Here is a 27427-nt window from a genome sequence, read left to right as displayed (position 1 = left end):
GACATTCTAGCAGTGGTTCTTTTTTCAACATTGTGCAGCGCAATAGACCCATAGTCCACAGAGAGACAGGGTGCAGCATCAGAACTTTCTCTGAGGCAAGCATAGTCCTGTAGACTCCAGGCAGCTCCCTCAAATGGGCTTAGTGCCTGTGGGGGCTGCAGGGGTCCTCAGTGGCAAGAACTGTAGGTGACCCTGGTGGTGTTGGAGGCTGCTAGGGTCCCCTTGCTCTTCCTTTCCTTACAGAGAGAAGTCTCTCCTGGCTCTGAGCTGCTTATAACGGGGGTTGGGGGAGATGGTGGGGGTGGGGGCAGCAAGGGTTTCTGTGCTCCGTGTTGTTTCTGCTACTCCCTTGATGTGCTCCAGCACTCTCCTTCAGCTGCCTTCGTGAAAATGTAGTCATTTATTCATTGCTTTGGCTGTTCCTGTGGCAGGGATGAGATCCCAGGTGTTACCAGAAAGGGGTCCTGATCCAAACCCCAAGAAAGAATTGGAGGCGAATCCATAAAAGGAAAGCAAGTTTATTAGGAAAGTAAAGGAATAAAGAATGGCTACTCCATAGGCAGAGCAGCAGCTTGGGCTGCTCAGCTGATTACACTTACAGTTCTTTCTCGATTATATGCTAAACAAGGGGTAGATTATTCATGAGTTTTCTGGGAACGGGGTATACAATTTTCGGAACTGAGGGTTCCTCCCCCTTTTAGACCATGTAGGGTAACTTCCTGATGTTGCCACAGCTTGTAAACTGTCATGGCACTGGTGGGAGTGTCTTTTAGCATGCTAATACATTATAATTAGCATATAATGAGCAGCGAGGATGACCAGAGGTCACCTTCCTCACCGTCTTGGTTTTGATGGGTTTTGGCCAGCTTCTTTACTGCAGCTTGTTTTATTAGCAAGCTTTCTTGATGAGACTTTCTGTCTCATCCTGTAACTTAGAATGCCTGACCTCCTGGAAATGCAGCTCAGTAGGTCTCAGCCTTATTTTACCCAGCTCCTAAACAAGATGGAGTTGCTGTTGTTCAAAGGCCTCTGACACAGGTGTCTCTATCGGCCATCTTGCTGCCATCCCTCCTCTCCTTACTTCTTTGTACCTTCACTAGCTCATCCGGAAAATGAAATACTGAGGTTCATTTGATCCTAGATCTAAATCTAGATCATAGATTAGACCCTTCTCAACTCTGAAGATCTAGAATTCCATGATATATGTCATTTTGTATATTTCTGTTTTTCACATTTTTAAAGTAATCATATTAATGGCAATTTACATAAGCTGTAATAAGTAATGTTAAAATAATTGTGGAAAATGACATTGTTTTTTGTTGGTTTAAAAAGAAAAAGATGCGTGGAAATATTATGCTACCCACTGTGAGCCTGGCTGGAATCCCTACAATCGTAATTGCTACAAACTTCAGAAAGAAGAAAAGACCTGGCATGAGGCTCTGCGTTCTTGTCAGGCTGATAACAGTGCATTAATAGACATAACCTCATTAGCAGAGGTGGAGTTTCTTGTAACCCTCCTTGGAGATGGTGAGTCCCAGCTGCCTTTGGTTTAAAAGGCATAAAATATAATGTAGTAACTACTTTTATTAGTGGAGTTGAAAAGAAATTTAAGCTATTTAAAAGTGGTTATTCATTGCACATATATTTAAAGTTTCTAAATGTTATTCAGGAGTTCAAATTTATTGGATTTTTACAAAATACATGTTCAGAAACTTTGTAACATCTTCATATATGCCACATATATTAGATGATTTTTAAATTTTTGGAAAGTAGGAAAGTTCATTTCCTAAAACTTCTAATGAAAAACCTAAACCTGTAATTTAGCTTTATGGCCACTAGATAGCAGTAGTGTATTGTTAACATGTAATCCACATAATAAAGGGAACCCCTTAGGCAAATAATTAGATGTAAACAATTTTAGCCAGTGAACATGGGTAATTTATTTGGTGAGGTGATGTTCAGACTGTTCCCCATGTATAGGAATTTTAGGCTCCTGGCTTCCGCACAGCCTGAGTCCCTCAGAGTTGGCCTGCTCTTCACTGTGTCATGTATTTGACATAGACTTATGCTGAAAAATACTGAAATTATTTATTTCATTTTTCAGTTTTTTAAAAATACAAAAAAATGTCCAGGATCTCCTTTGATGACCTTTTCAATTGTTACATTTTAGTTTGGAGTAAAAACATGCATCCTTCTCTGTTATTTTTCCTAATCATTTGCATTTGGGATTAAAGAACCCTGTGGGCTGCTTATCTCAACAAGGGCACTTACACATCTCTTTCAGCCACATAGGGTCCTTTCCTACCTAGGCTGTCAAGTTTTAATTACTTTTGCAGCAACTCCATTTCAATGCCTTTAAGAGGTTTTGCTCCTTTTTTCCTATGGCAGAAAAAAGAAAAAGGAAAAAAATACTTTAAAAAATAGGTTTAAGAGGTACAAGTGAGTATTTCTTACATGCATATATTGCAGTGGTGAAGTCTGGCCTCTTAGTGGCCCCATCACCTGGATGGTGAACATTGTACCCAACAGGTGATTTTTCAACCCTCAGCCTCACCTCTGCTACCTTTTGGAATCTCCAGTGTTTTTTATCCTGCTCTGTATCTCCATGTGTCCCCATTGTTTAGCTCCCACTTATAAGTAAGAACACGCAGTATTTGACATTCTGAGTTATTTCACTTAGCAGAATCGCCTCAAGTGCTACCTGTGTGCGAAAGATATGATTTCATTCTTTTCTATGGCTGAGTAGTATTCCATGGTATGTGTATGTGTATATATATATACCATATTTTCTTTATCCAACCCTCCTCTGATGGATACTTACATGATTCCATCTTTGCTATTGTGAATAATGCTGTGATAAACATATGAGTACAGGTGTCTTTTTGATATAATGATTTTTTTCCCTTTGGGTATATACCCAGTAGTGGGATTGCTGGATTGAAAGGTAGTTCTATTTTTAGTTCTTTGAGTAATCCCAGTACTGTTTTCCATAAATGTTGTACTAATTTACATTCCCACCAATAGTGTATAAGTGTTCCTTTTTTTGCATCCTCACCAACATCTGTTGGGGAAAAAAAAACTCCTATCTTTAAGCTAGACTATCATTAAAAGTTTGTTTGTTTCATGCCCTTTTCATAATCCAGTGGGCCTTCCTATTTTTCCTTTCTCTAGGCAGAAGCAAAACCAGATTTTTCAGATCTGCTTAACATACATACATGGTTCTAGCAGAAACCAGAGCCCCAGGAATCCAACTTGCTTAGGCTTTGTTGTTGCATTGGCTTTAGCTCACATTCTGCCTCACTTATAAGGCCTATATCAAGCAGATCTGGATATTATGGGGATGTCTTAGTCCATTTTCTATTGATTATAGTAGAATACAAAGAAACTGAGTAATTTATAAATAAAAGAAATTTATTTCCTACAGTTATGGAGGCTGGGAAGTTCAAGGTCAAAGGACCACATCTGGAGAGGATCTCCTTGCTGGTGGGGATTCTCTGCAGAGTCCCATGGTGGCACAGGGCATCACATGGAGAGGGGGCTGAGTGTGCTATCTCAGGTCTCTCTTCCTCCTCTTATAAAGCCACCAGTACCATTCCCATGAGAACTAGTTAATCCATTAGCCCATTAATCCATTCATCAGGGCAGAGCCTTCATGACCCATTCACCCCTTAGAGGCCTCCTTCTCAATACTACCACACTGGGGATTAAGTTTCAACCTGAATTTTGGAGGGGACAAACATTCAAACCATAGCAGGGAAGGGAAAATGTTTAAACAGACATTTTATACCAAGACTTAAACAGATTTCATCATGCAAAGAAATAAAGAAGAAATCACATGTGAAGTGGTATATTTTAGTAATAACTCCAGGGTGTTATCTCCTTTGCAAATAATAGGATCCCATAAGTAATTTACATTTATCTCTTACAGAAAATGCATCAGAAACATGGATTGGTTTGAGCAGCAATAAAATTCCAGTTTCCTTTGAATGGTCTAATGACTCTTCAGTCATCTTTACTAATTGGCACACACTTGAGCCCCACATTTTTCCAAATAGAAGCCAGCTGTGTGTCTCAGCAGAGCAGTCTGTAAGTTGATTCATTTGTTCAGTGCTCACTTTGCTGGTCTTGTACTGAAGGCCACCTGTGTTGGAGCTTTGGGCTGTGGCAGAGACCAAGACAGGTGCAGTCCCTGTTCCTCATGGGCCTTCCATGTTAGAGAGCAAACAAGTACACACAGAAAAAACATGGTAATTATAGTTGTAATGATTGCTCCAAGGAACTATGTGACATGATAGTGAAAAGCTTGGGTTGGGGCAGGACAGGACAGCCACAGAAAGCATTTCTGAAAAGTTAATATTTAAGCTTGGACTTAAAAAAAAACTCTCAGAGAGAAGGGGGAAGAATATTCTAAGCAGAACATGCAGAGGGTAGCAAGTGCAAAGGCCCAAAGGCAGACCAAGACTTGCCATGTTGAATGATCAAAAAGGAGACCAGTGGTGAGGAGGTCGTAAGAGATGGGCAGTAGGAATTCTAAAATGCCAGGTTTCTAGACTGTGGTATAGGAACCAATAAAGTACTTCAAGGAAACAAAGGGCATGACCTGATTTACATTTTACAATTAACTGTGGCTGCTACACAGAGAATGGTTAGGAGAGGAATAAAATGGAAGCAGAAAAGCCAGTTTGGAGGCTACACCAGAGTTGACTTAGGGTAGTGACTGTGAAGAGAAGTGGACAGATCCAAGTGTGCTTTGGAGAACAGAAGGTGTTGCTAAGTTAGATGTGGGGGTGAGAGAGAGGTCGGCTTTTGGCTTGAGCAACCATGGTTTTGGTGTATGGTGGTGCCATTGACTGCTGTGATGAAGATGAGGGGAAGAACTGAGGGATGGAAGATTACTCTGGAGAGTGATGGTTTTTAAGCTCCATTATGTTATTCACATAAAAGGATTTAAACAGTATGTGTAACCTCTTTGAAAATTGTGGATCAGTGGCAAATCTTGCTTTTTTTCCTCATGTGGATGGAGTGGTCCCAGTAGCCTGAACATCACATTCATCCCTATGTTCTAGTCTCTCATTTATCTAAAGCATCTGATTATACAGAATTAGCTTAATCCCAAGCCATTTGAACAGTTTATTATGCCTAAAACAGACTTAATCTCTTTGATCAAGATAGCTGCTGAATACACTGGCTGAGTTTTAGGGGGTTGTTGGGATTTGGTAGATGTCCATGTTCTTCTAACCACCAGGATACTCTGTCAGGTTCTCCGAAGAGGCAGTTTATTAAATGTTACTGATGTGGCTTGACAAAGTAATTATGCCAGCAAAACAGGAAGCATTTCTAAGCACTTAACTTTTGTGACATGTTTCATGGTTCCATCTTTTAATGCTAGCACAGACAATTACAATTGTACAGTGCAGTAACAATTATACATGCTAAGGCAGTGTCTCTCAGCCCCATATAAAGGAGAAACAATACCTCTAAATGTCTGTCCTGGGTCTAGCTCTGCTGAAATCCACCACAATGTTTGTTTGTTTGTTTGTTTGTTTGTTTGTTTGTTTTTGAGACAGAGTCTCACTCTGTCACCCAGGCTGGAGTGCAGTGGTGCAATCTCAGCTTACTGCAACCTCTGCCTCCTGGATTCAAGAGATTCTCATGCCTCAGCCTCCCAAGTAGCTGGGATTACAGGCTTGCACCAGCATGCCTGGCTAATTTTTGTATTTTTAGTAGACATGGGGTTTCATGTTGCCCATGCTGGTCTCAGACTCCTGGACTTTACCATCCTTGGCCTCCCAAAGTGTTGTGATTACTGGCATGGGCAACCGCGCCTGGCCCACCACAGTTTATTCTACAGTATCTGCTGATTTATTGGTTCATTAGTTTTGATATAATTTAGGTGATCATTTCTTATTGACAGGCATGGGTATGTTGCTCTGCAAGTTTACAGAACAGGAGCCAATATTTGGACAGAGATTTTTTTTTAAGAGATTGATGATAGGTATTAATAGTATTGGATATGTCAGGACAATGCTGCCGTAAGTGTAATATTTTATGGCCCCTTTTCTGGAAGCTCAGAAGCTCCTTAAATAGTAGATGTGTAAAAATTAACATTTATTTCCATGGAGTAGAACTTAGTATGAATATAATTATTATAATTAACAAGTTCCCCAATCACAGTTGACACAAATTTGAATATGAGAGCCTAGGAAACAATTCATTTGTTCTTCCATTCATCTAACAGTTCTTAACTATAGTATGCCTGACACTATCCTGTAACTGGATTGTTTGCTGGAAGACTCCATGGGGGAGCGATGCAGGGCTCCTCTTACAGATGAAGGTATCAGCCCTGGACGTTGTATTTTTCTAAGGGTCATGGAAGGGCTCCACATTCCCCTAAAATTCTAGATGTGTGAAATACCACCTGGAATTTGAATTGTGTAACTTTAGCCTAAGGTTCTGATTTGTGTTATTAAAAAATCCTATGGGAGGATAAAATTTTAATATGTTAGCAGTTATTATATCATTATTAATGAAAGATCTGAGAGTAGCCTTCAATAGGATTAGAGAAAGACATGAAGGTATCTGCCTAGCATATAAAGAGGAGATGGGGTGGTGCTGTTCGAATTCCTGATGGAGGGATCATTGAAGGGTGAACATGAGTTTCAGCTATGCCAATATTACCTAGGGTGTTTCATGGTAGCTTCCAGGAATTTCCCCAGCATCAGGTAGAGACATGAAAGCAGCAAAGCATTTAATGTAACACTTAGAAGTGGTTGAAGAGAGGCGTCAGCACTCTCACTTGGTCAGGAGGATGGCTTCATCCCAGTGGTTCTCACAGTGTGACCCCCAGACCAGCAGCATTAACATCACCTGAAAACTTGTTAGGAATGCCAATTCTCAAGTCCCACCAGACCTACCAAATGAGACACTGGTCATGCAGCCCAATCATCTAGGTTTCAGTTAGCCCTCCAGGTGCTTCTGGAGCACACTCGAGATTGAGAACCATGGCTCTATCCCATCTTTTCATAGAAAAATTGAGAACAGCTTAATGGAAAGCCAGGCTGACCTTGGTATCAATCCTAGCTCCAATTTTTACTGACTCTAGGACCATGTAAAATGCTAACTCTAACCTTTAAAATGGGAATTATAATCCCTACCTCACTGGAACATTGAGATAATATATGAAAATCGCCCTGCATTAAGCCTAGCACATGGCAGCTATCAAGAAGCACCAGTTGTTAATAGTTGCTCCCTCTCTCCTGCCCACCCAGTTACAGATTGCACACCTTGGAACTCATGCTGGAGAGAAGGGCCTTTCCCTAGACAAAGTGTCAACCCTTTCCGTGACAAAGCAGAGTGCCGCCTGAAACATTATCCCACGCGGGAGCACATTATTCATCATATTTTTTTTATAAGAATTGCTATTGCCCATCGGTATCAGCACAGAGTGTATTCATTCTCTTGTAACATTTTTCTCCGTAGGAGGGACACTGGAAAGTCAAAAATTGTGAAGAAAGACTTTTTTACATTTGTAAAAAAGCAGGCCATGTCCTCTCTGATGCTGAATCAGGATGTCAAGAGGTAAGTGCTGTTAACATTGCAATTTAGGTACAGGGACTTCATAGCTAGAATATCAATTCCACCATCAATTTGAAGTGAATTTCTCTTTCTCCTCTCTCTCTCTCCTCTCTTTCATCTCTCTCTCTCTCCTCGCACCCCCCCCTTCTTTCCTTTCCTCTTTTTTTTCCTGTCCTGAGAAATGTTGTCTTGCTATCTTCTACACAGGATTACTTTTCTTTTGAGATTAAAAATGTAAATGGTCCTGATACAGCATCTGTACAGTGACTATCCTGTGATGTGTGATGCCCTGTCTCACACTTGGTTTTCCTAGTCTTTCTTTCTTTTCTTTTTCTTTTTCTTTTTTTTTTTTTGAGACAGAGTCTTGCTTTGTCACCCAGGCTGGAGTGCAGTGGCACAGTCTCAGCTCACTGCAACCTCCACCTCCCAGGCTCAAGCAATTCGCATGCCTCAGCCTCCCGAGTAGCTGGGATTACAGGCGTGCGCCACTACGCCTGGCTAATTTTTGTATTTTTAGTAGAGACGGGATTTTGCCATGTTGGCCAGACTTGTCTCGAACTCCTGACCTCAAGTGATCTACTGCCTCAGCCTCCCAAAGTACCGGGATTACAGGCTTCAGCCACTGTGCCTGACTTATGGTTTTCCTAGTTTTCAAGTGAGATGTCATAAAACAATTGTGTTCCTCTGAGTCAGAGTGAACTATGCTTTATCAGTCTCAACAGTTTTCCAGACCTGGTCTTTATGCAACTATGCTTTAATTATTTTCTCTTCTAATCCAGTTATTTGTATTGCAATTGAACAATGACCCATCCCCTTAGAATCTTCATTTTATTCATTAATCAATGTGTAAACATGTGAACTTCATACTCTAGTTGGATAGTAGATATGCCGTAGCTGACATGTCACCATTTTATCTAATGATTATAATCTCTGAATTAGTTATAGCTGATCTCTGATTAATCTCTACCTGATATGAAATATTGAAGACGGGGCAGGGGCGAGGGTGGGGGGATTTGTCTTACTGTGGCTTTCTGGGAAACTCAGCGTGTTTTATTTTTGTTGAAAGGACAATTAACTTTTTACACTGCAAATACAGAACTGATGTTCTATTCAAACTTTTGTTCATGGCTTCCCTTTTCCAGCCAGCATTACCAGTATTTAAAGTTTCTGAGTTCATAGCCAATTCTCTAGCTTTGTGAGGAAATTTCCAGTAATTTTATTATGCATCAGTCTATGAATATGGTTTTGAAAGTTTTCTCTTTTTTAGAAAGTTGCTTCAATGCAATTCTCTAAACAGTCTGCACTTGAAAAATCAATTTGTAAAATCAATCTTGATAATTTCAAAGCAAAAGAAGTGATTTGTTTTTCCTTCTGAGTCACTTTTTTGGGATTGGACAATATGAGCAATTCCTTCAGTTTTGTCACCACCATCCTTTCATTTAAAAATGAAATGGCACCTAGTGTACAAAGGGTTAACTGATATAATCAGTTATCCTTCCCGTATTCATTGTGTGGACAAAGTCTTGAAGTAACAAGTCTGTGTTTCTGATTATTCTATGCCAGATCTTTTTTTCCCTCCCTTTTCTTGAGCTGGTTCAGTTATTGGATTTTTTTGTTTGTTTGTTTTGCTAAGCAGCCTATGATCTAAAAACTGCTAATGAAGAAGAATACATTATCGGAAAGGTCAAATTGCCAGCCTCCCTCTCCCTGTCCTTCCAAGTACAGGAGCAGTCTAATATCCCTGCTCCTACCCTGGAGGGATGCATGAAGGAGCTGTATGGAGCTGTCAGTTACTCACAGAGAGAAGATTGGGAATAGAAGTGAAGGGGAGTGAGTTCAGAGCAGATCCTAGATGGCTGGATGTGGGAGCTCCTGTGCTTCCTACCTCAGTTAATGATATGTTTGAACTAACACAGCTGATCTCTAAATTAAGGTTTTCTTTAATTTACTGCAAGACCAACATCTTTTCCAAGAAATTTATGAGAAATCATTTTATAACTGATCAAAAGCTGGCAAGAATTGGCATAGCATAAAATGAAGAGTGTTTTAAAACTGGTGAATAAATTAAAATAGATAAAAATGATGTGATTTAATAATATTGGGGAAAAAAGAACTAAAATAGCTCAGTTTAAATATAGAGGACTAATGAATGTATGTCTTACCATACTGTGTGATTTCAGATGAGATCGGGCACATTCAGGGTGGTGTGGCCATAGACTGTACTGCATGATTTCAAAGGAAGAGCCACCCTTCGTTGTTCCCAGGGCTAAAACATAGACCTACATGTTTGTCATTTTTGTCTGAGTGCCAAAGCTTACTTTCTTCCCCTCCAAAAGGCCAGCCAGTTAATTTAGGAATAATCTTTACAAAAAAAAAAAAAAAGAAAGAAAAAGAAAAAATACATATATTGGCCATTCTCTATTTGGAAGCATTATGCTCCAAACAAGACCATCCTGGACTGTTCCAGAATTGGGTTTCAGGCCCAACTGATCCACTAGTTTGACTTTATCCAAGTCCCTAATCTCAATGAATCTCAGAGGGATAACATGAAATAATCAATATGAAAGTTGAAAAAAATCTCTAATATTATCTAGATACATATATTCTCTTTGTTCATGTTCTCTTTCCCCTCTGTTCAATTCTAAAATCTCTATCTGTATTGTCCTTCTCTGATTCTCAGAACAACCCCATAAATACTATTATTATCCTCATCGTATAGATGAAAAAACTATGATATTAAACAAGGTTGCACAGTAGTGGAGCCAGAATTCAAACCCATGCATCCTGACCCTAGAGCCAACACTTAATTTCTACCCTCCTGTCGGGACCATTTATATGAAATTCTGTAAGTCAGAGAGAGAGAGACACACACACACACACACACACACACACACAGAGAGAGAGAGAGAGAGACAGAGAGAGAGAGAGAGAGAGAGAGAGAAAGAGAGAGGTAGAGATCTTGAATGAATGCCCTTTATTTTCATTTACTTTTAAGGTTTTACGTTTTAAGTTAATTAAAAATTTTAGGTTTTAAGATAATAAATTAAATAAATGTAGAAGTGGGTGTAGTTAATGGCATTACTGGATAGAATAAATATAAAAATATCAAGACAAAAATTCAAGGAGTTTTAAAGGAGTAAGAGAAGAAAGTTATGTAGGTGGTAAAAGAGTATGCAAAAATATCTCTTGGTATTTAACTAAATGAGATTGTGTCCTTAATTTCCCTTTTATTCTTTTTAAGGGATGGGAGAGACATGGTGGATTCTGTTACAAAATTGACACAGTCCTTCGAAGCTTTGACCAAGCTTCCAGCGGTTATTACTGTCCTCCTGCACTTGTAACCATTACAAACAGGTAAATTAAACTTTTTTTAACAGAAACAAGACGGCTTTCACATGAGGACTCTTGGAATGATAAAATCTAGCTACAATCATAACTGTTCAAAATCTAAATTGTGCTATACATCAAAGTACTAAATTATTTAAGTTATTTATTGAGATGAATTTAAATTATACTATGTTATTCCAGAATTGATTTTTGAGTAATAAATAATAAAATTTAAGGTGACCTTTACTATCTGTAAAGATTTATTAATTATCCAGCTTTTCTAATATATTCAGATGTTTTTAGATTTTATCTTCTAACTGCTTATATGGGAAATGAAACCCGTTATTTATTTTTTATTTTATTTTTTTTCATTTTTTTGAGACAGAATCTTGCTCTGTTGCCCAGGCTGGAGTGCAGTGGTGCAGTCTCAGCTCACTGCAACCTCCACCTCCCAGGTTCAAGCAATTATCTTGCCTCAGCCCCATGAGTAGCTGGGATTACAGGCACCTGCCACCACGCCCTGGTAATTTTTGTATTTTTAGTAGAGACGGGGTTTCACCATGTTGGCCAGGCTGGTCTGAACTCCTGACCTCAAGTGATCCACCTGCCTCAGCCTCCCAAAGTGCCGGGATTACAGGTATGAGCCACCGCGCCCAGCCAAAACACATTATTTAACAAGTATTTTTTTGATGTAATGTATGTGAGTTGTATGGGGGTGTTTTTAGCAGAAAAGCTATAAAATGTGGAGGATATTCAAATCCTTCACCATCACTTCTTCCATCTATTTTATTTAGATTGAGACTTCTCTGTGCACATATGCCTTCCTGATGCTGGCACAGAGACTGTGCCCTTTTTACACTCCATACAATCTGCCCCATGGTACCGATGCATAATACCTGTAGGGGATAAAAATACCAAGAGTAAAGGTGACCTCATATTAGTATCGATGCCAGGAGGACAGTGGGGGCTGGAACACCTGGGAGACCCACTCCTCCTGGGGAAGACAGAAGCGGGGTAGAACTCCAGTGGTGCCACAGGAAACTACACCTGCAAAGCAAGTCACTTGCATATTTACCTGGGCCATTGCCTTTAAAAATATTCACTGAATACCAGCAAATAGGACAACTGGTTTTACCTAGAGACCCTTCCCATATAAGCCTAATTTGTAGAGGAATTCCTGTATGATTTCTCTGCTCCTCCCACATTGGAAGTCAACATCCAAAGCTGCCAGTATGTCCTTCCTCCTCTTACCCTCTTTCTTGCCTTCTTACCCAGCTTCTGTTCCAAACAATGCACAGGAATGCATACACACACACACAAACAGACACACGCACACACACACACACTCAAATGGATTGATAGCATTTGGCAGACTAAGTCACCTGGTGAAACATTTTACTTTCAGGAGATCCTCCCGTTGAAATATAGCACTACCTTTGATGTATCTCAGCATTGTTTTTAGTTCTACCTTTCTCCTCCCAGGTTTGGCTAACAGGCAGAAGAAAGCCTTTATCAATTTGTTAACTCACCCAAAAGGTTCCAAGAACACCTTGGGTTGGAAGTCCCCCAGTCAGTGAGTCAACACTGGACTTCACAGGAGGCTGACCAATGAAGCTATACGCTCTTTTGTTAATTACAATTTAATTATGTTTTTTACCAAAGAAAATAAGTCCAATTGTTTCACCTGTTTTTTATGTCTTATTCTTTATTTTTTTGTTTAATGTTCATTGAGTGCCTGTCACATACCTGGCACTGTGTTAATTATTTTTCATATGTTATCTGACCACACAAAAAATTAATAGCCAAGAGTTTATTAGAAAATTTTTTTTGAATACCTGTTTTGTGAGAGTCCCCATATTAAACACTGACATGCTATCCACAAGAAATAAAAGGCATGCTATTATTGTCCAGTGCTTTCTGAAACCCAGCAGCTGAAGAGATCGAACATAGACACAAGAAATAAGTGAAGAAGGTAGAATAGCACAATAAATGGATAAACTCACAGTGACATTACAGATAACCCATAGTGCCACAGTGACCCAAGCTAAGGCAGAAATCTGTTAGAACAAATGCTTCATATTCCATGAACCCTTTGGGGACCTCATACAAATGACAGAAAGTATCTGGGAAAAAAATCTGTTTCATTTTCCCCAAAACTGGATACAAGACTATGTTGTGAATACTTTAAATGTTTTCTCTGGTAAACTGTATTCAGTAGCCAGCGCTCATGCCTGGTCCATCTGTAAAGCAGAACTATGGCATAGAGAAGTTTGTTTTTATCCCAGTCTTGGCCTCCTACGCCTGTCCAGATTGCCCTGTGCTGGTGTGCTGCCTGGTCACCCGCCAAGCCCTGAGGGAGTACAGATGAGCAGGATGTGTCATCTGTCCAAGTCAGTTAACATATACTTATGCTACCCCCAAAACATGTCTACATTCAAAGCAGCAACTCCAACACAGGACTCATGAGTTGAAGAAAGAAAGGGCCAATGCTCTTGGTTTTTAATCATTCAGAGTCCATCAGGGAAGAAACAAGGGTCCACACTGTACTGCTTTTGATTCACCATACACGTTGGAATTTTTGCAAACAGCATCTTTTGTCTGAGAAGGTTGGGCAGTAGATGGAAAGTGTCTCAGATCCAGGAGTGTCCACTAGTGGCCATGGTAATCATTTTCTTCCATTACTGATTTCCTGTTTAAGACACTCCTGTCACTCTTCAGTACCCAAGCTTGTAGTTGCTAATCGATTTTCCACTCTTCTGCACAATGGAATGACAGGTTTGATGGGCACAATTAGAACCACCTGCTACAAATTACTTATTTCTTTTGTGATCAGGCAACTGCTCCTGGTCTAAGACTTTTAACACTTTGTGGAATAGAGAGGGGAAGAAAAACAGATCCTTATTGTTGAGTAACAAATTTTTGTTTGCTTGCTGATTGTTACAAAATTTTTTCAGGCCTGGCCACTTTGCTTCCAGACAAAGCATGAATGCAAAAGTTGAGTTCCAAAATTATAATGGATAATTGGCTAAATCCATGTATGTCTAAATTTTGAATCAATCAGCCATAGAATATTGGTACAAAATAATCCAAATGGCATTCAATTTTGTGAATTTTGCCAAAAGTGAGAAATTCTGCAATATCTCATTTTCTCCTAAGTTTATTTTACTTTCATTTATTTTTGAGACAGTGTCTTACTCTGTTGCCCAGGCTGGAGTGTAGTGGTGCCTTCATGACTCACTGCAGCTTTGACCTCCTGGGCTCAAGTAATCCTCCTGCCTCAGCCCCCCAAGTAGTTGGGACTACAGGCATGTACCACCATGCCTGGCTAATTTTTTAAAATTTTTTACAGAGACAGGTTCTTGCCATGTTGCCATGGCTGGTCTTGAACTCCTGGGCTCAAGCAATCCTCCTGCCTCGGCCTCTCAAAGTGCTGGGATTATAGGTGTGAGCCACTATACCCCTCCTAAGCTTAAATGTGCATTATTTTAAAGCATTTTTACAGCTCTACCGTTTTCCTGCAACTGTCATATCTCCCCAAAACACTTTTGCAGTTAATATTTTTTTTATTGTGGTAAAATATACGTAAAACACACATAAACGTAAAATTCACCATGTTAGTCATTTTTCAGTGTGCAGTTCAGTGTCATTAACTGCATTCAGATTGTTGTTCACCCACTACCATCATCCATCTCCAGAACTTTTTTCATCTTCCCAAACTGAAACTCTGTACCCATTAAACAATAGCTGCCTATTCTCCCCTCCTCCCAGACCCTGGCAACTACTATTCTATTTTCTGTCTCTGTGAGTTTAACTACTCTACATGTCTCATATAAGTGGAATTATGTTTTTCTGTGTCTGGTTTATTTCATTTAGCATGTTGTAGTGTCAGAATTTCGTTTCTGGAAATTCTGTTTTAAGGCTAATTCATATTCCATTGTATGTATATACACATATTGTTTATCCATTCATCCATTAATGGACATTTGGGTTGCTCCCACCATTTGGCTATTGTGACTAATGCTACCATGAACATGAATGTACAAATACCCTTCGAGTCCCTGCTTTCAATTCTTTGGCATGTATGCCTATAAGTGAAATTGCTGGATCATATGATAATTTGATTTTAAATTTTTTAAGGAACCACTGTACTCTTTTCCATAATGGCTACACCATTTTCCATTCCCACCAGTAGTGCATAAAGGTTCCAGTTTCTCCACATCCTAGCCAATGCTTACTATTATCTGGTTGTTTTGTTTTGATAATAGCCATCCTATTGGGTGTGCAGTGGTATTTCACTGTGGTTTTGATCTGCATTCCACTGGTGATTGATGATGTTGAACATCTTTTCACGTGCTTATTGGCTATCTGTGTATCTTCTTTGGAGAAATGTCTATTCAAGTCCTTTGTCCATTTTTTAATTGGGATGTTTGTCTTTTCTATTGTTTAGTTATAGGAATTTTTAATATATTCTGGATATTAATCCCTTATCTGATGTACAACTTGCAAATACTTTCTCCCATTTTGTGGGTTGCCTTTTCATTCTGTTGATAGTGTCCTTTGATGTGCAAAGTTTTTAATTTTTATAAAGTCCAATTTATTAATTTCTTATTCCGTTGCCTGTGCTTTTGGTATCATATACAAGAAATCATTGCCAAATACAATGTTATGAAGTCTTTTTCCTGTGTTTCCTTGTAAGAGTTTTATAGTTTTAGCTCTCATGTTTAGGTCTTTAATCTACTTTGAGTTCATTTTTGTGCATAGTATAAGGTAAGGGTCTAACTTCATTCTGTTGCAAGTGGTTGTCTAGTTTTCCCTGCACAGTTTATTGAGAAGACTGTCCTTTCTGCACTGAACAGTCTTGGCACCATTCTTGATAATCATTTGACATATATGCAAGGGTTTATTCCTAGTCTATTCCACTGGCCTATGCGTTAGTGTTTATGCTAGTACCACACTGGTTTTTTGTTTTGTTTTTGTTGTTTTTGAGACAGGGTCTCACTCTATCACCCAGGCTGGAGTACAGTGGTTCAGTCATAGCTCACTGCAGCCTTGACCTCCTGGGCTCAAGCCATCCTCCCGCCTCGACCTCCCGAGTAGCTGGGACTACAGGCATCTAACACCACCACCCACAGCAAATGTTTTTTATGTTTTGTAGTGACAGGATCTCACTATGTTTCCCAGGCTGGTGTTGAGCTCCTGGGCTCAAGCAGGCTGCCTGCCTCAGTCTCCCAAAGTGCTGAGATTACAGGCATGAGCCAATATGCCCAGCCCACACTGTCTTGATTACTGTAGCTTTGTAGTAAGTTTGGAAATCAAAAAGTGTCAGACCTCTAACTTGGTTTCTTTTCACGATTATATTGGCTATTCAGGGTTCCTTGAATTTCCATATGGATTTTAGGATGAACTTTTCTATTTTTGAAAAAGATATCATTGGGATTTTGATAGGGATTGCATTGAATGTATACATCACTTTAGGTAGTATGAGCATCTTAACAATATTAAGTCTTCCAAGGCATGAACACGGGATTTATTTCCATTTCTCTGTGGCTTCTTTAATTTCCTTCAGCACCATTTTGCAGTTTTCAGTATACAAGTCTTTCACCTTTCAGTATACAAGTTTTCAGTATACAAGTCTTTGTGTAGTTTATTCCCATGTATTTTGGGGGCACTATTGTAAGTGGAGTTATTTTCTTAACTTTCTTCTGGCCAAACTCCACATCGTTCTTCCTGTCGACGGCCTGCCGGCATCTGCCAGTGCCTGTCGGTGTGCTCTTCCACCGGTGTGTTCCTCTGGATGTCCAGCCGCTTGTCTGTCTTCCAGCTAAGGCCTCGGGGGATTTTACAAGCACAGGATGGGGGTGTGGCAAGCCAGGGTGGTCTTGGGAAATGCAACATTTGGGCATGAAAACAGAAATGCTTGTCCTCACCTAGGTCTGGGGGCAGAGGCTGGGGGTGGAGCCCTAACCAGGGACCCCGCCCTTCTCCTCCCAGCACTTCCCTGACCCGGTATTACTACTCTGCCTCAGAGGAGATAGAGAAAAGCAGATCGTATATTATTGAGAGCATGAACCAACAGAAGTGTAAGGAAAATTACAACAGCATGTAGGCAATATTTAGTCTTCTATATGTTCCTTTTGAAGCACATTTATATAAGGTTCTGCCAGTATGATCTGGATTAAAAAAAGAACTTTTCTTGTTTCAAATGTGTGCTATTTAGGTTATTAATAGAGTATCTGCAGAAAATATTTACTAAAGTATGACGAAAATCCATATCCCCTGCAAAGATGAGTACCATAAATACCTAAGATCTCTAAATGTTGCTAATAATATCTGTAAGGCACTTAAAATTTTTACTTCTTTTTATTCTTTTCTCTTTTTATCTCCTATTTCCTTTGAGACTCTTCTATTCATAAATGACCTCATTGCTTTTGCTTCCCTTAGCAAGTTAAGGATGCACAGTAACGAAAAAAGCCACCAAAATTGAATGAAAAGATCTAATTTGCTTTCTCCTTAGGTTTCCTGGGTAATGGCTTCAGCCTTTCCTTTTCCATTGACTCAGCAGGTCTGCCCAGAAGTCGCCACTGTTTCAAATGTGCTTCTTCTAACTTTGTATGTTCTAAAAATAGCTTTCTCAAGATAGTTTCAACTTAGCTGAAAGGTTCAATGCTAGTTAAATTTTAATAGTCATGTTTTTCTTAGTAGGTGTGCATGTGGAAGCATGTATGTGAGTCTTCTATATTCTGCTTTTGATGCATTCATACTGGAAAGGGGGCACTGCCACCAATCATTGAACAGTAATTCATTCAGCTGTTTGGGAAGTATATTAGTGGATGTACGGCCTTAGATTAGTTCCTAGGCTTTCACATTTTTCTTCAGTGAACATGCAGATTTAAACACATTTGAATAAGCTGAGACCTACCTCTGCCTATGAACACACTGATTTGGGAGACATAAAATTGCTACTTTAATTTCTGTTTCTTTCTCACCAGGCAAGTGAGGTAGGTGGGTGTGTGTGAACTCTGTATTAGTAAATGCTCATTCAGAAAAGCATAATATCTTTCCTCCTCCCTCCTGCCCACCTTTACCCCGTGCATATTGTGGCATGGTGTGTGTGGTGTGTGGCCTAATTACAAAATAGGCCACATCGTACTCCAAGAAATGCATTGCTGGCCATGTGAACTTTACCACCTATGCTTTGAAACTGGAGCTGGACTCTCTATTCTGTGCAAGAATTAAGCCCCATATGCAAGAGTCAGATTCTGCTCACTCATATAGTTCTGGGAATTGCACTGACATTCGGCATTTATTAGTAATGTTCAGGGTCTTTGGGTGTTTTCCTGTTCCATGTTCTAAAGAATTGATGAGAAATGCTTACTCTGGGGCCATTCTGTGCACTTCATTATGCTTTAATGACATTTTTTTATTGCCCAGAAACTTAATGTAACCACTTCTTTTTTCCCCTTTTAAGGTTTGAACAGGCTTTTATTACCAGTTTGATCAGTAGTGTGGTAAAAATGAAGGACAGTTATTTTTGGATAGCTCTTCAGGACCAAAATGATACGGGAGAATACACTTGGAAGCCAGTAGGGCAGAAACCCGAGCCGGTGCAGTACACACACTGGAACACACACCAGCCGCGTGAGTAGAGTGTGCTGCATCACCAACCCTCCCTGTTTTCTTTACTCCAAATTCCTTCCACCCCTTGGCCCACCTCCTTTGATTCTTTCTTAATGTTTTCTTAATGCCTAAATCAATTACAAGGATCAACACAGGTTAACAGGGGGTGACATATGGCTGATCTTTGTTTTTATTTATTTTATTTGTTTGTTTGTTTGTTTGTTTGTTTGTTTGTTTTGAGACGAGGTCTCGCTCTGTCACCCAGCCTGGAGTGCAGTGGTGCAATCTCGGTTCACTGCAGCCTTGACCTCCTGGGCTCAAGTGATTCTCCCACCTCAGCCTCCCCAGTAGCTGGGACCACAGGCATGCGCCACCACACCCAGCTAATTTTTGTATTTTCTGTAGAGACAGACTGATATTGAACTCCTGGGCTCAAGCAATCCTCCCACCTTGGCCTCCCAAAGTGCTGGGATTATAGACATGAGCCAAATTGCCTGGCCCAATGGTCATTTTTAAAAGTATAATCCGTATGAGTCATTTGACATGTTAAAGGTATAAATTCATCGCTCAGGACCACCACTGCCTTTATTAGCAGCAAGTCCAGCTTCTCCCTCCTAATGTCTTTCTCCCCACCTGCACCCCCCACTGTCTAAGAATCTCAAGTGCTTACTCAGTTCAGAATGGTCAGTTAAACTTCAAAGTACGGTGGATGGGCACATATGGGTACATCCAATCAGTTCACAGTCACTGCCTGGGGTACCTTAGCCAGGATTCCAGCGTTAACAGCTCTACTAGTTCATCCTCAGGTGTTCAGCTCTGAATCCCAAGGCATGAAACTGTGCCAGGTTGGTCAGTACCAGAGAAGCTGATGTCTTCCGCCACAGCCTACACTAGAACCAGTCTCTGTGGAACAAGCTTCAGGCCCTTGTATTAAGCTGAGGTTGACAGCCTAGACCCAACAGCCCTTCTACTTCAGGGTGAGTTCTTGCTTGCCTGTATCTCCATCAGGGCTGTGCCAGAGACAACAGCAAAGAGTTACTAAGTTTGTATCTAGAGGAAATGGCTTAGGGGCCCCAGGCTCTTCCCTCCCTGAAGGCCCGGAGCTCTTTATACAAATTGGTCTATTCCATCCTCAGAGCTCTATATACCAAGGTAAGGAAAGTGTTTGCTAAGCCACAGGGGGAGGTATATCTCCCCTTTAGTGTGGCCTCACACTAAAATATAAAAGTGGCCACACAAGCCTTGTTTCTCATAATTACAAAAGTCCAGTCCAAGGTGGTTTGCTAATCCCAACTCTAGACAGTGGTTGGCAAAGCTCCACCGATTTTTAAAATTCAACGATGAAATCATGAATATATTCTTACTATAGATAATGTGACCATATACCTCATTTGCCCAGAACAGTTCTAATTTATGTCTGGTGTCCCAGAGCAATTAACAGCAGGTATTTTTACTCCAAATTTTTCTGGCTTGGATGGTAAATTATGTAGATGCTCTAATTATAGAGAAGTGTGCTAAGTAAAATGTGGAAGTACTCCGTTACATCTTTCTCTTCACCTTCCCAACATCAATACATTTCCCTTTTCAGAAACAACCACTGTTAACTGTTTGGTATGATCCTGCTGGTGTTTGTCTATGCATTGCATTTAAATACATTTATGCATATGTACTTTTTAAATGGATATAAGGATTGCATGTTTCTGTTATTTGATTTTTTTCACTTAGCAATCTGTCTTAGAGAACTTTCCACATCAATATTTATTAGTCGACATTTGAAACAGCTACATAGAATTTCATAGTATGTAGGACTCATAATTTGCTTTGCCATGACCCTGTTGAAGGACATTGGGTGAAATTCATTTTCATTTCTGCTACAAAAGTGTTACAACAAATATCTCTATGTTGATGTCGCTGTGCATAACTATGAGCATGTTGGCCTAAAAGTGTACATCTTACTGAGGCATTATCAGTTTACAAGTTCATCTAACAAAATTTGAGAGTGGCAGCTTTCCCACATTTTTGTCAATACTGAATGTAACAACCTTTTACATTTTTGCCAATTTGATAGAATAAAAAAAGTTTTACTATTCTTTTAATGTCTACCTTTTCATTTAGTTATTTGAGCAATTTTTCATATTTGTTCTATACATTTTGTTTTGTTTTTCAACTACATGGTCACATAATTTGATCACTTTCTATTTTTATTTTGGACACTTTCTATTTTCTCATTACTTAGTGGAAATTTCATTATATTCTAAATATAAACTCTACATGTTTGCTATTTGCCTTTTAATTTTTCTATGGTATGTTTTGTCACACATAAATGTTAAACTTTTTGTAGTAAAAAAGTTTATATTTTTCATTTTAGCTTTGTAGATTTTTATATTTTCTAAAGGCTTTGCTCAACCAAAGATTATAAAAATATAACCTTATATTTTTATAGTTTGGCTTTTTAAATGTATAATTTTGATTGATCTGAGATTTTAAAAGTATGTTCTAGGAGATAGCTCATTTTAATTTTTCTAAATAGTAACCAATTTCAACACTATATAGTAAGTTCACCCTTTCGTCTACTGATTCGAAATACCATAATAAACATAACCTACATTCTCATTTTCTGTTTCCCTGCCAATATGGCACTAACATAATTCAAGCAGTGTGGTATTGAAAAAGAAATAGAAAAAATAGAATCAATGTAGCTGAAAAGAGAGCAGTAATACAAGAATATAATTTCTATTATTCTTAGTTTTCTTGGAGCTCTTTTTTAAAATTATTAACAGATTTTAAATTTTACTCAACACTCTGAATCTACTAAGACAATCCTAAGGTTTTCTCCTTTACTCTCTTAATATGACAAATTGCTTTACAGTAGTAAACCAGCTTTGTACTGTTGGGTAAACTTAACTTAGTGATATGTATTTTAATACATCTCTGGGTTTAGTTTGCTAGTACAAAGCTTCACCTACTATAATGTACATAAGAATATCCTGTAGATTTTGATGAAGTTAAAATTCTGATTCAGTAGATCTGGGGTAAAGTCCAAGAATCCGCATTTTTTAAAAAGCTCCTAGGTGCTGCCTATGTTGCAGGTACACAAACTAACCTTTGAGTGGTAGGTTTATGATTTTAGCAACCTTTTTTCATAGGGAAAACTAGTCCACATTTCTTCATTTGTATACAGCTTTGGTTTCATGATTATGCTAAGTTTCATAGAATGAATTGGAGAGTGTTCACTTTTATTCTCTACAGAACTATATATACAGTAAACATTTATTAGAATTTGCCTTATGTTTTATATAGGAAATTTAAAAACCACTAATTCAATTTCTGTAATGCTTATAAGACTACTGAGGCTTCCTACTTCCTTCCAAGTGCTGCTTGAGTTGTATTTCACAAGATTTAGTAGAGTTTTATAATTTTTCAATTTAGAATACATTCCAATTTCCAATATGAATATGATTTCAACCCATAAATTATTTAGAAGATTTTTTTTAATTTCCCAAAATGCAGGTGTTTCTAGTTCCTTTTGTTGTCAATACCTTATTTAATTGCACTGTGGTCAAGAAATACGGTTTGTTTGGTGCCTGTCCTTTCAAATACAAAGTTGGTATTATGGCCTTGCATGTGTTCTTTTTATATATATATATCCCATATGTACTTGAAAAGATTGTATATTCTGCTTTTGCTACCTGAAATGCTTCATCTATGTCAACAGATTATGTTAAATGTGTTGTTCAGATCATCTATAGCCTCAATATTTTTTGCCCACGTGATCAATCAATTATTGAGAGTGTTTGATACCTCCCACTATGATGGTAGATGTGTAAACTTCTCCCTGTAGTTCTGTCGAATTTTTGTATTACATACTTTTTAGGCTGTTTTATTAGGAACATACAAGTTTAGAATTGTGATATCCCACCTGTGGTGTCAAAATCGGTATAGTAGTATCCCAAGTGATCCTCTTGTTCTTTCAAAATTATTTTCTCCTTAGAGTTAATTTGTCCATGAATGTAGCTACAGTAACTTTTTAAAAATTAGTATTGGCCTAGTACATTTTTTAAATTTTTTTCTAACTTTGAATGTTTTTGTGTTCTTAGAGTTAATGTATCACTTATAAACAGCATATAACTAAATTTTTAAAACTCTATTCACACATTCTTTGTCCTTAACTGTATAGTTTGGTTTACTTATATTTTTTGTGATTATGTATAGAATTGGATTTATTTCTTCCATTTTATTATGTCCTTTCCATTTATCCTGCATTTTTTAGTCATGTTTTCTCTTCTTTCTTGCCATCTTTTGAATGTATCTTTTTCTTCTTTTCTCATTTCATTCTTTCCCCTTTACTTATCTGAAAATTGTATTATCTAAATCTATTTTTTTATTTGTTACACTAGCTATTCAACATGCATTCTTAACAAAATCAACAATATCAAAGTTATTCATCTTTAAAAGGATTATAATTTGCTGTTGCTGTCTAGTTTTGAAAATTCTGAACTGCTTCATTTCTGTTAGCCATGATTTTGTTGTTGTTATCTTTGCAATGAATATTTGTTTAGATGTATTCATATACTAGTGTACCATTCCTTCTGTGATCTGGAACACCTTCAGTTTCATATCCTTTTCATTAGACTCCCGCAACCTGAAGATGGTTGGTTTTACACAACTCTGGAAATTTTTCAAGCATTATCTCTTCAAATACTGCCTCTCCCCATTCATTCTAATATTTCCTTTTATCATTCCAATTACTCAGCCTCTCCTCCATGTTTGTTAATATTTTTAAAATATTTTCTACCTCTGTGTCTCTCAAGGATGCATTTTAAATAAAGTCATGAATTATTTCAATTCATTGATTCTCTCTTCAGCCAGATCTAATTAAATTTTATTTTTTAGTTTTCAGTGTTAGATACTATATTTATTTCATTTCTAGAAAGTCTATTTCTGTTTTAAATTTGGTTTGTGGTTCTTTGTAGTCACTTGTTTCCTACTCATATTTTAAAGATTCTCTTTCATTTCCTTAAATGTATCCGAGTTATTTTGTATTTGGTTTCTAATAATCTCATACCTGAAGTTGTATGGGTCTGTTTCTGGATCTCATCTCTTTCATTTTGTGGGTTTTGCCTAGAACTACTGATTTTTCTTTGTACTTTATTTATGGGAGTTCTCTCACCCCCAGGGTGAAGTTGGGCTCCTCCAGTGAAAATTAGCATTTGTTTCCACCACTCAGTTTGAGGCACTACCAACTAAGGACTGCTTTAAAAGCTCTGACTGAGGTTTTCTTGAACACATAGGTAGCATGAATTCGATGACTAACGACTAACCTGCATGAAGTTTGGGTTGTGGTTATAAATTCTTTAGAAAGTTATTTCTTTTCTTATTATTCACTCCCAAGATTGACAGAGACAAGTTTCCTTACAAACAGCTGAGTGAATATATTCTCATGTACGCTTACCAAAAGTGGCCATTTGGGATTCTATTTTATGCAGGTTTCTTCTGTTAGACTTTTCATTTTGTATATCTCTTAGGCTTCATCTCCTTTCCCTTAAAATCTCCATGCAACTATCAAAGCAGATGCTCAAGGTCTCCAGAATTGGAAAGAAACCTTTAGGGTAAATCCCACTAGGAAGGTAGTTTGGCTACCATGGTTCATACTTTTACTTCATTTGCAAGCTCTATAGATTTGTTTATTTTGTGCCAGCTCAGCCATACATTTATAAAGATGTTTTCAAAATGTTTTATCCAGCATTTCAACTAGTTTGACCAAAAGAATCTTTCAGGGTACCTAATCTGCTGGTTATTTCTCATAGCACCATTTATTTTAACACATGAGATTTTAGGATAGAGAAGAGATAAGCACATGTATTCAGTCTACTGCTCAATCTTTGAGATGTCTCTCTCTGTGTTTTTAAAAATTTTTTCTTTCTATAACCCTATTGCATAATTAAAGCCATTCATTTAATGAACTTTTACAAGGCATTTGTATGACAAGGGACATTTAAAAATTACGTAGGCCGGGCGTGGTGGCTCACGCCTGTAATCCCAGCACTTTGGGAGGCCGAGGCGGGCGGATCACGAGGTCAGGAGATCGAGACCATCCCGGCTAGAACGGTGAAACCCCGTCTCTACTAAAAATACAAAAAATTAGCCGGGCGTAGTGGCGGGCGCCTGTAGTCCCAGCTACTTGGGAGGCTGAGGCAGGAGAATGGCGTGAACCCGGGAGGCGGAGCTTGCAGTGAGCCGAGATCCCGCCACTGCACTCCAGCCTGGGCGACAGAGCGAGACTCCGTCTCAAAAAAAAAAAAAAAAAAAAAAAAAAAAAAAAAAATTACGTAATGTGCATGCCTTCATGTTGCTATAATCTGGGAGTGGTGACAGCAAATACAATAAATAACTCATATATAGATTCTTAGTCATTCCTGTTACTATAACAAAATATCACATATTGGGTAATTTATAAATAACAGAAATTTATTTCTCACAGTTCTAGAGGCTGGGAAGTCCAAGATTAAGGTGCTAGCAGATTCAGTGTCTGCTGAAGGCCTTCTTGCAGCGCCCTCACATGGTGGAAAGGCAAAAGAGCAAAACAAGACTAGGACACTCCCTCAGCCTCTTTTATAAAAGCACCAATCCCATTCATGAGGATGGAGCACTCATGACTTTATTACTTCCCAGAAGGCCCTGCCTCTTAATACTATCACATATGCGTTTTGGAGGGATATATTACATTCAAACCATGGCAACAGGAAAATGTGTGGTGAGTGTTGTAAGAAGTATAAAATAAAGAACTCTAACAGTTAAATGAAGGGAGGATTAATTCCCATTGAAGTTATCATAAAAGTTCAAGAGGAAGTGGCCTTTCACCTGGGATTGAAAATGTCTGAAATATAGTAGGATTTAGTGGTTAAAGAAGTAAAAAGAATTTTCTCAGCAGGAGGAAATATATGGGGCAACTTTGAGAAATTTTAGGAGCACTGTGTAATTAGAGATTAAGATACATGCAAAAGAGTTGTAAAAGATAAGGCCAGAGTAGGACATTGAAACTACAGCTTAATATTACAAGCTAAAGAGTTTTCACTTCTTCTCTAGGTATAGGAAGTCACTAGAGGTTTTGGATCGAAAAATATTAGGATCGGAAGTGTTCTTCATTGAGGTTATTATGTAGGGTGATACAAACAGATATAAGAGACTGCACTGCAGGATAACATATGCATAAAGAGTACCTACCCACTACTGAGTTGAACTAAAGTTCAAATTCCAGCTCTATGATCTCAGGGAAGTTATTTAATCTCTTCATATCTCAGTTTTCTCTTCTTTAAAATAAGGACAGTAATTGTATCTACCTCACAGGATTGTTGTGAGGATTAAAAGAAATATTACATAGTTGCTACTGCATTGTAAATACTTAATAAATATTAGACTTTCTTATTGCAGAGAAATAATTTGCAGGATTTTACCTAAAGCTACAGATAGTGACATTGCTAACCTATTAGGGTTCCTCACCCATACATTCTAAGATGCAGGACCTATTCTGTGCTGGACCAGCCACCAATGTGAGCACCCTGGGAAACCACAGAGTTTTAAAGGAAGGTATGATTGTGGCCTATACACATACATTTCCCCAACACTTAGGAGCTAGTGTTAAATGTTTTTAAAAAAAATTCCTTTAGACCTCCTGATATTAGAAAAAGAAAAAAGAGAGAGATCAAAGAAAGTCAGTTTACATTCTCTCTGTTAAATACATGGTTTAAAACCCTGTACTTTTGAAGACTTCCAGTTCCCAGACGAGCATATAAGAAGTTTAGAAGTTACACCATCCTAATGAGTAAAGAGCTGAACAAACTGAAAAATCAACAACTCTTCTTAGATCCATCGCAAGGCAAACCACTGCTGCCCCAAACTGGAGAAATAAAAAGATACAGAGAATCACAGCTTCCTGGATCAGAAACCCATGAGCAGAAATCTCCAGAGGAACCAGTGCTGGGAGAGGAACATCTGAACTGTCATTGATAAAACTGCTGGAGGCTCAACACAGACAACTCTAAGGGTTAAAAACTGTAGGGGACTCAGTCATAAGGGACCCCCACACTTTTGTGAGTTCTAGCTCCAGGTGATCTATCAGGTTATCACAGTGAAATATCAGAGAAAAATTGCCTAATGCTTCCAGCAGAGGGAGAGGAAAAATAACCATTTTGAAATATAGCAAAGCATTCTGTTCTTAACAAGGCCCCACCTCAGGAAAGGCTATTTTACCAGAGACTGCTACTGGAGTTTTATCAGAGCCTAACTTATCTGGAGGAAGGGAAATCTGCAACTCCAGCCAGCTCTATCCTTTCACGTGATGGAAAGGAAATACCCCGCTCCAGCTCTCTAGCCATCCTGTCCCACCAAGCAGGGAAAAATAACTGAGAAGCATTCACTGGTCAAGGGTGCAGTCCAGGAACACAGGCTCACCAAAAGGCTGAGACCTAATGGTAAAATTGTAGAACGCTTCCCCTCCTCTCACACCTTACCATTCCATCACAAAGGCCTGTTTACTGCAGTTTCTTTTACCCAATATATTACATCCACTTTTCAACAAAAATATTACAAGACATGCTAAAAGGCAAGAAACACAGTTTGAAGAGACAGAACAAGCATCAGAGCCAGTCAGCTATGACAGGAATGTTGAAATTACCAGACAAGCAATTCTTTTAAACTATGATTAATATGCTAAGGGCTTTAATGGAAAAAGTAGACAACATGCAAGAACAGCTGGATCCTGTAAGCAAAGAGGTGGAGAGTCTAAGAAAAAAAACAAAAAGAAATGCTACAGATCAAAAACACCATAACAGAAATGAAGAATGCTTTTGCTGACCTTATAGTAGACTGGGCACAGATGAGAAAAGAATCTCTGAGCTTGAGTATATGA

The 27427-nt window shown here is 38.6% G+C and overlaps 1 protein-coding gene across 18 annotated transcripts in view; it reads left to right on the top strand.

Annotated features, from left to right (window-relative positions):
* PLA2R1 (phospholipase A2 receptor 1) overlaps nucleotides 1-27427 on the top strand; it is a 138683-nt gene that overhangs the window by 38424 nt on the left and 72832 nt on the right. For 16 of the 18 annotated variants that reach the window (XR_922892.4, XR_007071491.1, XR_001738672.3 and 13 more), the window contains exons 7-11: nucleotides 1333-1527; nucleotides 3929-4086; nucleotides 7480-7578; nucleotides 10817-10929; nucleotides 18371-18540. Coding sequence is in view for 11 of the 18 variants with exons in the window: in XM_047443729.1 (XP_047299685.1) it covers nucleotides 1333-1527; nucleotides 3929-4086; nucleotides 7480-7578; nucleotides 10817-10929; nucleotides 18371-18540 (735 nt within the window). In the remaining 7 variants the exon portion in view is untranslated. Of the gene's footprint in view, nucleotides 1-1332; nucleotides 1528-3928; nucleotides 4087-7479; nucleotides 7579-10816; nucleotides 10930-18370; nucleotides 18541-19347; nucleotides 19497-27427 lie in introns of those variants that run through there. The other 2 variants (XR_007071494.1, XR_007071493.1) reach the window with 2 other exon arrangements.

Source organism: Homo sapiens, chromosome 2, assembly GCF_000001405.40.
Source record: "Homo sapiens chromosome 2, GRCh38.p14 Primary Assembly".
Classification (NCBI taxonomy): Eukaryota; Metazoa; Chordata; class Mammalia; order Primates; family Hominidae; genus Homo; species Homo sapiens.
This window is presented reverse-complemented; position numbering and strand designations above follow the sequence as displayed.